The following is a 14820-nucleotide window of genomic DNA, read 5'->3' on the forward strand; positions in this document are numbered from 1 at the left end:
CTAATATCATATCCACAGAGAGGCCTTCTCTACTTACCCACCTGAAAGCAGATTGCCTTACTTTATTCTTCATCATAGCACCCAGTTCATTTACAGCCTCTGTCTCTCACCAGGCTATAAGGCTCAGGAGTGTAGGAACAGTGGCTATCTTGTTGAACATTGTTTATCTAGCGTCTAGCTCAATGCCTGGGATGCGGTAGGCATTTAAGAATATGTTTTCTGGATGAGTGAATACATAAGCAAACTAATAAAAGACATTACTATCTTCATTTTACAAATAAGGATATTGAGGTTCAGGAAGGGTTGTATAACATAGCGACATGATACAGATAGTAGCTGAAGAAGCCAGGATTTGAATATAGGGTCTGTTTTTCAAGTCTTTGGATAACATAATTAAAGTAACAGAATTTTCCAATAGTTATAAAGGTGATCTCTCTGTTAGTTTCTGGAACCCCTTCAACATCTTGTGTTCCAGGACTTTGGGGAATTTTTTAAGCAGAAACTAACTAGAATTCATCCTTAGGCTATTGGGCATCTCTTATTGTAGCATGCTAAACATAGGCATTTTATAGACTGTTGCCATATCACAGTAGGGTTTCTATGCAAGATGGAGAAGGGGAATACTTGGATATATTCCACAAATTAAACTCGGACTATTTCACAGACTTATTATCAATCTTATCTTTGCCTTAAACATAAACTAGAATGAGTTATCATGAGTTTCTTGAGTATAGAAACCATGTCCTTACATCTTGGTGTCCCAGATGTCTAGCAGAGTATCTAACTTACAGTTGGGGCTCAAAACCTATCAGATGAGCGAAAAGTAGCAGAAACTGGATTATAAGGGGTGACACCATTTCACCTTAAAGGTAAAATAATGCAAATGAGATTATATGCACATGTATTTTATGTAATATATAAAAATGTATACATAGATATATGAATGAAGTAAAATGAGATAATAGCATATTCTGAAGACTATTTCAGAAATGAGCATTATAAATTATAGAAAAATTAAGTTACACAACAAACCAGCATATCCTGGGCATGAAGAGTATTAAAGTCATGGAATTATTGGTAAAATTCTCCTATAAAGTAGAAATAAATACAACCACCTACTACACACAGACACACACACACACTCACACACACACTCCAAAAAGAATTCCAGCAAATGCAATTGTGGTAGAGACAAGAAAGCACAACTAAAATCTAAGTGATAGTATGTACCATTATGTTAGTTGTTATTATAGAAGGCTATGTGGCATCATGGCTAAAGACAGGGGGATGAGCATCAAACCTCGGTTCAAACCCAGCTCTGTCATTTTGTACTATCAGAACGTGGCAAATTACAACTCTGAGCTTCAGTTTTCTCATCTGTAAAGTAAGGACGATAACACTTACTTCATACTTTATCAGGAAGATCAAGTGAGACAATAGGAATGTTTAAAACGGTCGTAGGCACATGTTAGGTGCTCAGGAAATGAGTGTATTACTATTGTCATCATTTTCATCATCAGTATCATCATCGTATTGGCAATTTGAGCAACACATTCTAATGGTCATCTTGTGGAACTAGAGATCTATCATGTCTGTGACAGTAGAGAAAGTTTTTATTCTATATACTTGCCATTGCCTCCTTTTTCTGCTCAAACAATAGACCATTGTAAAGTACTTGGCCAACTGGATTGATTAACTGGTAACAGTTAATGCCAGATACATTGGAAATATAAATATTAATCCTACTCCAGGGGAGGAATACTAAGTCCTCATGATTATGGAGCATAGAAGCTTTTGATCAACAATTAAAACAAACAAACAAACACAAAGGTTTGAGAGTGGGAGAATTACTCTCTTGCACAGTAGAGGATAGACCTGCAGCTGAATCCTTGAAGCCGGATATCTTTCTGAGCAGCAGTTTCTTGATTTATAAATTGGGAACATACTCACCGGTTAAGGTTTCTGTGAGGACTAAATCAGATAATCTCTGCTAAATTACCTAACAGAGCACCCAGCACAAAGTGTACTAAAAAATAAAAAATAAAAAACGAAACAACAACAACAACAAAAACAGTGGTGTACTCTTTCTTTCCCAAACTTTCTGAGTGTTCTAAAGACTTGGTAAATGGAAGCTAAAAAATCCTTTTTGAGAATAAGAGGCAGCTGGATGAGAGTGGGAGAGTTTTGTTGGAGGACTTAAAAGTCTTCCTGTTTTTACAAAACATGAATTAAGAAAATAATAAATAATGGAGCAGCAAAGGAAGAGGAATTACTGAGTGCTCTCTCTTTGATTTTTCTTTGATTTCCACATCTTGTCTTCCTAACATACCTTCTTCTTAGGGTTGCATTGTAGTCTAGATGCTTTTAGAACAAAATGTTCAGGTAACACCACCATACAAATTAAGAATTGAGTATCAGAAGTAATGATAAAGATATCACACTGGCATACATCTTTAGTGGTTATGCATTTTTGTAAGGACTAATAAGTTCTGTGAAGCTTCATTTCTTCTTTCAACTCACAATTATTAAGAATCAGCTATGTATTAGGAACTGTGCTAGATGTTAGTAATACAGAAAAACACTGTCAGTTCAAGTTGTTTGCATTCCAAATTCTTTCCTCTTACTCCCAACCCCACAAATGTGACTGCAAGAAAGAATATTTACACAAAGATGAAACTCTTTCATCCTGATCTATGACCATTGTTAGCCTTTATAATGACAGGAAGTCAAAGGAGGATGATGCCAGAAAGCTACAAAGACAAAGCAGATAGACCCATAAAGAAGAGGGAAGTAATTAATCGATGCAGTATAAATTTTAATTTTAGTTTCAGTATCTCCAGTGATTCTTTTAATCACTTCTAGGCAGTATCTGAAAAATCTGTTTTTAGTCTTTTTATTTATAAAAATTAAATCAGAAATATTAATTACTTCAGTTTTGGTTTTGGTACATAATAAGAACACAAGGCCGGGCATGGTGGCTCATGCCTGTAATCCCAGCACTTTGGGAGGCAGAGGTGGGTGGATCACTTGTGGTCAGGAGTTCGAGACCAGCCTGGCCAACATAGTGAAACCCCATCTCTACTAAAAATACAAAAAAATTAACCGAGTGTGGTGGTGCACGCCTGTAATCCCAGCTACTCTGGAGGCTGAGGCAGGAGAATTGCTTGAACCCAGGAGGCGAAGGTTGCAGCAGTGAGCCGAGATCACACCTCTGTACTCCAGCCTGGGCAACAGAGTGAGACTTCATCTCAAAAAAAAAAAAAAAAAAGAGAGACCTAAAGTGTTGGTTGACTTCAGTATCTTGAGATACATAATTTTCTTACATGTTACATGTATATAAGGTGTATACTAATCTCATGCATAGATCCCACTGAATTTTCTTACATTAAAAATTCTCTTTGTTCCACCTTTTGTAGTTATTTTAAATTAACTTTCCTCACTGTATTATTTGCATTGTTTCATGCTACCCTAAGTCTCTTCGGAATCAAGGAAAAATAAATAGAAATATATGCCTTTGGCCATTACACTTAATGTGTTGAGGAAACAACCTCACTTTGGGTGTTCTCTCAGAAACACAGATTCTCACAAGATTCTTTATATATATATATAATTATACTTTAAGTTCTAGGGTACATGTGCCATGTTGGTGTGCTGCACCCATTAACTCGGCATTTACATTAGGTATATCTCCTAATGCTATCCCTTCCCCCTCTCCCCACCCCACAACAGGCCCCAGTGTGTGATGTTCCCCTTCCTGTGTCCAAGTGTTCTCACTGTTCAATTCCCACCTATGAGTGAGAGCATGTGGTGTTTGGTTTTCTCTCCTTGTGATAGTTTGCTGAGAATGATGGTTTCCAGCTTCATCTATGTCCCTACAAAGGACATGAACTCATCATTTTTTATGGCTGCATAGTATTCCATGGTGTATATGTGCCACATTTTCTTAATCCAGTCTATCATTGTTGGACCTTTGGGTTGGTTCCAAGTCTTTGCTATTGTGAGTAGTGCCACAATAAACATACATGTGCATGTGTCTTTATAGCAGCATGATTTATATTCCTTTGGGTATATACCCAGTAATGGGATGGCTGGGTCAAATGGTATTTCTAGTTCTAGATCCTTGAGGAATTGCCACACTGTCTTCCACAATGGTTGAACTAGTTTACCCTCCCACCAACAGTGTAAAAGTGTTCCTATTTCTCCACATCCTCTCCAGCACCTGTTATTTCCTGACTTTTTAGTGATCGCCATTCTAACTGGTGTGAGATGATATCTCATTGTGGTTTTGATTTGCATTTCTCTGATGGCCAGCGATGATGAGCATTTGTTCATGTGTCTTTTGGCTGCATAAATGTCTTCTTTTGAGAAGTGTCTGTTCATATCCTTTGCCCACTTTTTGATGGGGTTGTTTGTTTTTTTCTTGTAAATTTGTTTGAGTTCTTTGTAGATTCTGGATATTAGCCCTTTGTCAGATGAATAGATTGCAAAAATTTTCCCCCATTCTGTAGGTTGCCTGTTCATTCTGATGGTAGTTTCTTTTGCTGTGCAGAAGCTCTTTAGTTTAATTAGATCCCATTTGTCAATTTTGGCTTTTGTTGCCATTGCTTTTGGTGTTTTAGTCATGAAGTCCTTGCCCATGCCTATGTCCTGAATGGTATTGCCTAGGTTTTCTTCTAGGGTTTTCACGGTTTTAGGTCCAACATTTAAGTATTTAATCCATCTTGAATTAATTTTTGTATAAAGTGTAAGGAGGGGATCCAGTTTCAGCTTTCTACATATGGCTAGACAGTTTTCCCAGCAAAATTCTCACAAGATTCTTTTACCAGTGACAGTTAAAAGATAATGATGGTGATAACAAATGCCAAATGTATAGGGTTTTAATTTATTTTCTTAATAAGGATAATAAGTCTGGTTATTTATTTGCAGTTGTAACCCACATTTCACAGCACTTTCCACCTAGTTACAAATAAAAGATCTATTAGTAATATTTATGAAATATATTAATATATTTATATCTAGAAAACATTGCAATTCATTTCTTCCAATCATTTTCTCACTATATGTAACCAGCAGGAGGGTAAAAGTTCAAAAAGCCCCCTGGAAGTCTTCCTTTTGGGATCGCTCCAGCGCATAGCATGAAACAATATAGCTACATAAATTATTAACACCACTTTAATCCTCCGATTAAAACTGCAGTGTGAAGCAGACTGTTTTCCTATGTAAGCCACACCATGGGAGCATGTTAAGCACCTTTAGATGTTATTCTAATTCTTCCAGCACTTAGCACAGAGCCACTGAGCACGATAGGCTCCATTATACATAGTTTATTTGCTGGGTTCAGATCATTTGCGTGCTATTTGATACACTAAATCATTAATAGGTAAAGTGGGATTCATAGTCAGTTCAACTCAACAAACATTTGTGGAGCACCTACTATGTAATATGATCATGTCACTCCCATGCTTAAAATCTTTCAGTAATTCCCTATAGCTTTCAGGATAAAATCCAAGCTTCTTAATACAGAATAAGAGGCCCTACTTAATCCATCATAATGGCAGATATATGACATACAGACTCCCACTCCCCTCTTCTGCCCCCACAACAAAGGGAATCAATGTATCCCATCACTATTTCCCGCTGAGACTGGCCATGGCTTCAGAATCCTTCACAACACAATGTTCTAGACAGCCACCACCAATAGACAGGAGTGAAAATCTATTTGCTAGTCCTTTCTGATGATCTAGCATTCTAGAACTTCACCAAACACCATTTGCTCCAGTCACATAGAATGACATGTAGTTCCCTAAACATGCAAGACTTTTCACACTTATGTGCCTTTTGCATATGTTCTCTCTCCCTAGAATAATCTTCCTCCTTTTCCATGTTTAGGTAGCTCCCACTTATCCTGCATAATTCAGATGAAGCTTCAACTTCTCAGTCTGATCCCAATATCTTTCTTCTGTGCTCTTGAAATACTTGGCACTTAGCATTTTTTTTTTACTGGACCATGATTATTAGTGGTTCATCCCTCTCCTTGACTAAAGTTAAATTATTTAAGAGTAAAGGATATGTCTTATTTTACCTTGTATCTCAGGAAGCCATTACAGACCCTAGCATACAGTAGGTATTTAATAAATGTCTAAGAATAAATGTTCTAGTCACTCTACTAGGTTCCAGGAACACCAAAAAGAATAATGCATAAAAACAGGTAACATTTATTATGAGCTCTAAGCATGTTACATGTATTTTCTTATTTAAACCTCACAGCACCTACCCTTCAAGGTAGATTCTGCACTTGGAAGGACTATAATAGATACATGTTTAATATAAAGGGGTGGCACAAAAGAGAGAGTGATTAATGTGGTAGGGGATGGAGGGACAAATGATCAGGGAAGCTTTCACTAAAGAAGTGGTATTTGCTGGGTGCGGTGGCTCAGGCCTGTAATCCCAGCACTTTGGGAGGCTGAGGCGGGCAGATCATGAGGTCAGGAGTTCAAGACCATCCTGGCTAACACGGTGAAACCCCGTCTCCACTAAAAATACAAAAAAATTAGCTGAGCCTGGTGGCGGGTGCCTGTAGTCCCAGCTACTTGGGAGGCTGAGGCAGGAGAATGGCATCAACCCAGGAGGCAGAGCTTGTAGTGAGCCGAGATCATGCCACGGCACTCCAACCTGGGCAACAGAGCGAGACTGTCTCAAAGAAAAAAAAAAGAAGTAGTATTCAAATTAGGTTTGGAAGACAAAGAAAAGCACAGGAAACGGAGTGAAGGGAAAGATAGACTAGGCAGACAGAGGAGTGAAACAACACACATAGGAGTGAACCAAGATGACGTTTGGCCAGCAGGACCCAGTGCAAAATGAAGATGTGGTGAGAGGGAACATATGCAAAGGCATCTAAGTGAGATGGGGTCTCAACGTGTTGACCAGGCTGGTCTCAAAATCCTGGTCTCAAGCAATCCTTCCATCTCAGTGTCCCACAGTGCTGGGATTACAGGCATGAGCCACTGTGCCTGGCCAGCATGAAGACCTGGGTTCTTTCATGCAATAATTAGTTCAAAATAGTTATAGCAGAGCATTAAATGAAATGGAGCCCTTCTGAGCTCAGCACCCTCTCAAACAGCATAGATTGCACACCCATGAAGCCAGACATGCTGGGTACCATAAATGCTTCAGTATTGTTGGAACAAGAAGTACCTGGAGAATAAGTACTTTATGAGACAGGAAATGACACCAGTGACGTCAGCAAAGGCCAGATGATATACTATGCTAAGTAGCCTGGACTTTGTCCCATAGTTAACAAGAAGCCATAGAAGGGATCTCAGCATTGATGCAACCTGATTGCATTAATTTGTAAGAGGATACTTCTGGCAGCCCTATGGAAAGTAGACTGGAGGGTAAGAGAGGAAAACAAGGGGACAGCATGGCAGCAGTGGCCATTATATGGGCCAGAGAGGCTCAAGCTTTGACCTTGGTCTTTTCAGTGGGGATATCCAAGAAAAGCAGTCTGAGAAATAAATAGAAGGTATGGCTTGCCGGCATTGACACTCAAGGTGCACGTGAGGGAAAAGGAATAAATGAAAGGCGCAACCAAGCGTGTGGCATTCAGGAGAAAACTTTACCATTTTGCTTCAGCCTGCCGGACCAATTTAAAGTAGTACTTGATATAATTATTTAGCATCATTTTTGTCAGTGACATTCCCAGCCTAGAGAAGGCTAATGCACAAACAGCAAGGAATGAAGCCGTTGTGCAGATTTCCATTTCTGTAACTTCCATAAGCAAAGAGGCACATGAACAGTCTATTTATTTATTTCTTGTTCTATTTCCAAAGAACAGTGGCTTTTGGGTCACTTGAGTTTTTCCTATGAAATGAAAAGAGATGATCCTTACACACTTCCAGTGGAATTTCTCAATTACCAAGCTATTCCCAGAAGCTTCTTGAATTCTCTTTGGTTTACTTGCACTATTTGAATGTGATCTCCAATATAATAAGGATAAAATTAAATAACACATTAGTTCATTAGTTCTTTGGAAGTTCAAACACCAATACTGGCTTCATTTATACAAAGACATTTATACAAAGACACCTAGATCCTTGGAGGCTGACAATAGTTCACACAACTAAATTACCTGTTCTTAACCCTCTAAAGGTACATTTTTCTGTTCAGTTGTTGAAGGTTCAGTCCATTTGTGGAAAGTGTCCTAATCATGCTAACTTCCCTTTCCCCTCTTTGCTCATAAAACTTAGGGAACTAGAATATCAACATACACAAATTTAAATAGTCAAAGTATTGATCTGCTTATGACTCATAATCCCCTTCATTAAATAACAGTTTTTAAAAATGGGAACATAGTAGATTATTTTTCTGGTTCCAGGGATAACTGACACTTCAAACTTTTCTTTACTGTTCTAATTGTTCCTAAAGAAGACAGCAGTCATCTAACAAAATGCTAACAATGGGGTAGCTTGGTGTAGCTGAAAGATCATGAGCTTTCAAATCAGATGGATGAAGGTTGGTACAGGTGTGGACAAGTTATTGAATTCCTCTCACCTTCAGTTATCCTGGGTGTAAATTGGGATTTTTATCTGCATTGTAAGGTTAACAGAGGACTGAGTGAGCTCAAAGATGTGTAAAATGGTTGTCCCCAAGCAGATCTTCAGTGAAGTCAGGTTCCTGGGTAGCCTGTGTATGTCTTTGGTAAGCAAAATTAAATGATGCTTAATACCTTTATAACTTTTCCCTCAATTATAATTGGTTGGGTTGTCCCCAAGCAGATCTTCAGTGAAGTCAGTTTCCTGGGTAGCCTGTGTATGTCTTTGGTAAGCAAAATTAAATGATGCTTAACACCTTTATAACTTTTCCCTCAATTATAATTGGTTGGTTGGCTTCTGAGGGTGAGTTTCTTCCCTTTGGGTATAAGCAAGTGAGAAGATCCTTCATGATCTCAGCTTCAGAACATGAAGTCCCTAGGCTGAAATCAGCTCTCCCAGGGTCAGATCCTGAGATGGCAACACCAGCTTTGGGAAACTCAGAATCTTCTTACAAACAAGTGGGGAGCTCTTACATTTCCTTCTTTCCACAAAATGCTTTTAGCTCTCATATTTAGTGCTTCAGTAATTTCCTCAGAAGTCTCTCCCACTCTCCCTGACCTCCTCACTTGATCATATCCCCTGCTATAAACTCTCATAGCAACCTGTAATTGTTTCTTTGTAGAACTTACCACAATTACAATTGAGCAATTAAGTCTGAAATTAGTTGTTTCAAGTACATCTCAATGTTAATTCCACTGGAAATCTGTCTTATTCAATACTGTAGACCCAGTACCTGGTGCACTCCCTTGCATATACTAGGTGCTTAACAACTATGTATAACAAAATGAATGAATGGGGGGCTCTTATTAACTAATTTGGATAAACACATATATTATTCATACACATAATGATTTGGGTTACTTTGCTTGATTCACATGTGTAGTCTTCAAACTAAGGATTAGTCTTCAAACTAAGGATTAGTCTTCATATACAAGGACATTTGTGATTGGTAATCAGTGCAGAGACTTATTGAATTGCTTTGATCCCAGTGGGAATGGATTTGTGCAGACCCAGGTACACTCTTCCTTAATAATTATTGTGTCCAGTGGTATACACTTACAATTTGGTGAGACAAATGAAACTGGGCAAGTAAGAGAGGGAACAGAGTTGAGAGAAATGCCTCTCAAATCCAATGAGGTGGTACCATTAAGCTTGTCTATAAAAGCTGAGTATACCTGAGAGTGATTTCCTGAGTCTAGAACTCTCAGCAATGGATCCAATAAGTGTGTGGTGGGGAAAAGCAACTAATCCTGAGAAACTGCCATGTGAAGACACTGAATCCACTGACATTGATGTATCTCCCAATTATAGTTGAAGAAATGGAGGTCGATAAATGTTAAGTAAACTTTTCAAGATCACAGAGCTAGGATTCAGAATAAAGACAACTAACATGTACAGAGTACAAAAAAATACTGGAAAAGGGCAAGGTAGAGAATATAGGGAAATAGAAAGCAATAGGATAGGTCTAACTGGCACAGGCATAAGGGCAGACTCCTTCACCAAGAAATTACAATCATAACAACTGGCTCTGTGACCCATCCTTATGCCCCTAATATCCATTCTATTCCTCTTAAAAGGCAAACATTCCGGGTATGTAAGGGTTTGGGAGGTGGGAAAAAGGCGTCTCCACCTTACAGCCACAATGATCAGTAATCACCTTAGTAGGGATGAGTTATCAGATACCTGAAAAGGATATGAGGGTCAGTGGAATAAAGGGAGGAACATGGGCAAGAGGAAGAAAAGGTAATCAGAACAACAGGTAATGGGCACCAAATAAAAATCCTTTCAAGTCACCATTTTGCCCTGCACCAGCATTGTAAATCATTGCCTTTGCCCCAAGGTATACGATGGATACATTATAGACCCATAGTTTGAACCATGGCCAACAGATGTCTGACCCTCACCATGGTGGATCCATAATCTTGGCCTCTATTGCATAATGATCTGCAAGAAAAAAAATTAAGTGGTTCTACCATTAACCAAGTTGCTTACTCCAGGATCTGAAGTCACTTTTGATACCTCTACTCATTTATCTATCACAGGCAATCATTTGCCAAGGCTCAGTTCTACTTCTGAATATGCTTGCAGGCTCACCACATGCCTTCCTCTTTAATCCCTCACAGTTCCATTCTATCTGTCTCTAAAACACTTTTAATACAGTATCAGTCTTCCACCAAGATACAATTGTAAAGTCCATGAGGTTAGGAACAATGTCTATCATTTTACCATCATATCTCCCTCCTGGGCTTAGCACAATCCATGGCACACAGTAGGAGCTTAACAAATATTTACTGGAAGAGTAAATAAATATTTGTTGACAGAGTAATTGAATAAATAATACCCTTTTAATCAGTCCACAAATATTTAGTGAGTCAGTATCCTCTGCCAGGCAATGTGTAAGACACTTAGAATACAGTGAACAAGATAAACATAGTACTTGACCTTTTAGAGCTTATAGTCTAGTAAACTTTTCACCTTTTCTACTGGAATGAAATAACAGATCTAAGCTCTTTTAAAATCTTACCTGATTATCTGGCTCTTCTCTGAGTTCTTTTGAGCTACATAATTTAACCCTTAAATGCTCCGTGCTAAGCTCTCTATTATTTTTCTCATTTCTTCACCAAAAAGGTAAGATCCTTGAAGGCAGAGAACTGTTTCAATTTTTGTGTGTATGTGTCCTATCTTAATCTACACAGAAGCTTCTTTTAAGAGACTGAAAGAATGGAACTCTCTGAAGTAATGTAAACTTTATATATCTTGATTGGGGATATATCACTAATAGGGTTATGTCCTGATTGGGCTTTATATCTTGATTGGGTAACACAAGAATATACATTTATCAAAACTCATCAGATTGTACATTTATGATCTGTGTGTTTCACTGAAGATAAATATTACTCAATTAAAAATATATTTAAAGTAACACACACTTATTATATAAAACATCACCAAATAAAAGTAGGCAAAATAAGAAAATAAAAATCACCAGTAATCTCATCACTCAAAGAAGAACACTGAGGCTAGGTGCGGAGGCTCTTCCTGTAATCCCAGCACTTTGGGAGGCCAAGGTGGGAGGATTGCTTGAATCCAGGAGTTTGAAACCAGCCTGGGCAACATAGTGAGACCCCATCTCTAAAAAACATAATTAGCTAAGTGTGTGCCTATAGTCTCAGCTACTCAGTAGGAGGATTGCTTGATCCTGGGAGGTCAAGGTTGCAGTATGAGCTCATACACATCATGATTGGGCCACTGCACTCCAGCCTGGGTGACAGAGAAAGACCTTGTCAAAAAAGAAAAGAAAAGAAGAAAAGAAGAAAGGAAGGAAGAAAGGAAGGAAGGAAGGAAGAAAGGAAGGAAGGAAGAAAGAAAGAAAGAAAGAAAGAAACAAAGAAACAAAGAAACAAAGAAACAAAGAAACAAAGAAAGAAAGAAAAAGAAAGAAAGAAAGAAAGGAAGGAAGGAGAGAAGGAAGGAAGGAAGCAAGGAAGGAAGGAAGCAAGGAAGGAAGGATGGACAATAAAGGAACATTGCTTACATTTTGAGGTATATCCATCCACACTTTTTTTTGCACACACATACATACACACTATGGATTCATATAGAGTGTAGTGCCTTCTAATTTCTTTATAAACAGTATACTGAGAACATACATAAAAGGTTCTTTGTAATTACCTCTTGAAGAATTAATTTGCTAAACTGCATAAAAATCAGAATCCTAAATTTGTTTCCAAAACTTTTGGAGTGTACAATATTCCATCATCATTACCATCAACACTTGTTGAATATCAAATGTCATCCCTAAAGAGTTTTCTTGACAAAGAATGATCTTTTGCTAATGTTGCTAAATCTTAACTGCTAGATGATCACTAACAGTAAATTTTTAAGCTGGTACCGGATTTATGATCAGCTTCAACTAACATTCTAGTGTTCTTAGTGACTAAGTACAACAAGTATCACCTCAGAATTTATTCTTCTATTCCCCTCATATTACTAAGCTGTTAGAAGATCCAATTTATGGCATGTTGCTATTATATTCATTGTTTAATTTGGGTAGATTCTAATTTAATACAGGGACCCACATAATTGTATGGCTAGACTGTTGTGATCTACATCCTCATAAAATTTATCACAATATGAGCTCATACACGCAAATCTCACATTTATATCAGCAGTTCAAACCACATCAAACTTAAGACATAATATTTGAAGTCAGCAAAGCCACAGCCCACCTCTAACACTTCCTAAAAAATCCATTGCTAAATCTAGTTCACCAAGAAGATGGCATATGGGTAAATATTCTAGTGAGTCCTTTGCTGGTTTCCTGATGGTGCTACATAGACTCAGACAGAAGGAGAATTACTTGGAACTACCCAGAAAATGAGAAGAGCAAGGACTAGAAGCAAAGATTTGTGAGAAAGGGAAATGTCTTTTGCTTTACACTTTTTGGCAAATGATAAAAGGCAGCTTTAGTGACAGCAGCCAGATGGAGATCAAATGACAACTGTGAGTTCATAATGGTCTCCAGCATCCTGGCAAGCAGAGGGGCAGTAGGGGAAGTGGGAGGGGTCAGCTTTCCTGGTACTACAAGTCAATCTGGTGCACATCAGTGTTATCTGACGTCAGCTAAACCCAGTTCTGAGGCACTACATCGGGACCAGCTGCCACATACTGAAAGCACCCTGGCCTGCCTCTGTGCACTCCCTGAACTCCTCCTGCCCATAACATTTACAGGGTGCTACCAGTTAATTTATGTTCCCCACACCAGGGAGGATCCAGATGTCGAGGCTGCAGTTGCTGATTTGAAAGGAGCTCACAAATACAGGAAGCTCTCAGAGGATAAAAGAAAACATGAGTATTTTACAGTGAACTTGAGAAACTCATTGTTCTGTATTAAAAAACACGCACACGAGAAGTGTTTGAATAACATCAAGCCTGTTCCTTAGCATGCACAGAAACACATGATTCACATTATCAAAACTGCCTAAAAAGGCTGGTTGTGGTGGCTCACATCTCTAATCCTAGCACTTTGGGAGGCTGAAATGGGTGGATTACTTGAGGCCAGGAATTCAAGACCAGCCTGGTCAACATGGTGAAACTGCATCTCTACTAAAAATGCAAAAATTAGCCAGGCATGGTGGCGCAGGCCTGCAGTCTCAGCTACTCTGGAGGCTGAGGCACGAGAATCACTTGAGCCCGGGAGGCAGAGGTTGCAGTGAACCGAGGTTGCAGTGAGCCGAGTTCATGCCACTGCACTCCAGCCTGGGCGACAGAGCAAGACCCTATCTCAAACAAACAAGGAAACAAAAACAAAAACAAAAAACGGCCTAAAGATCTAAAATGCACTGATGGGGGAACCTCGGTTCATCTATAGTTAGAAAGGGAACATGTATATTGGATCTACCTGTGGCTGCCATCAAAATTCAGGGGAATTTTCACAGCAGTAAGGACGGACCAGGAAGTCCAGTCAGTACTTTTGCTGTTAGCAATGATGCCTCAAATGTTAGAGAAAATGGAAATAAATACAATATTTTACTTAGATGAAGGAATTAAGAACAAAGAAAATTAGAAAGGACATTGGAAAATGGGTGCCATCTAATTAATATTCATGGTGTCCTGCTACATGCAGTGTACTCTAAGTGCTGTGTGTATTTTGTCTCATTTGATTTTCATCATAAGTTTAAGAGACAGCGTTTGTCAGAAAAGAGGCAAAAGAGCTTAGATGGCTTGCCCAAGCCTGATTCCAGAGTCTGCATTCTGAACACTACACTCTGATGCCACGTGAACCACAGCTGTTCTAGAGAAGCATAATATGTGGTTAAGAATGTGAGATTTGCAGTCCCACAGATGTGCATTTGCATCTTGCCCTGGCCATTTAGCTAGGGGTCTTTTGAGTTAGTAACTAGTTTAACCTCTCCAGTAGGCTACAGCTTACTTAGCAATAAAATGAAGATAATAGTATCTATCTCATAGATTGTTGTGAGGGCTTAGTGACATCATGTAAATAAAAATTTACCATAGTGCTAAGCATGATAAGCATTTAGCAAATTAGTATTTTTTCTTCTTTTTATATTTTAAAAATTTATTTTAATTTTTTTAGAGATGGAGGTCTCACTGTGTTGCCCAGGCTGGTCTTGGACTCCTGGTTTACATGATGTCATGGTCTCAAGTGATCCTCCCTCCTCAGCCCCCTGAGTAGCTGGGATTATAGTCGCAAGCCACCATCCCAGCA

This window comes from Homo sapiens, chromosome 1, assembly GCF_000001405.40.
Source record: "Homo sapiens chromosome 1, GRCh38.p14 Primary Assembly".
Classification (NCBI taxonomy): Eukaryota; Metazoa; Chordata; class Mammalia; order Primates; family Hominidae; genus Homo; species Homo sapiens.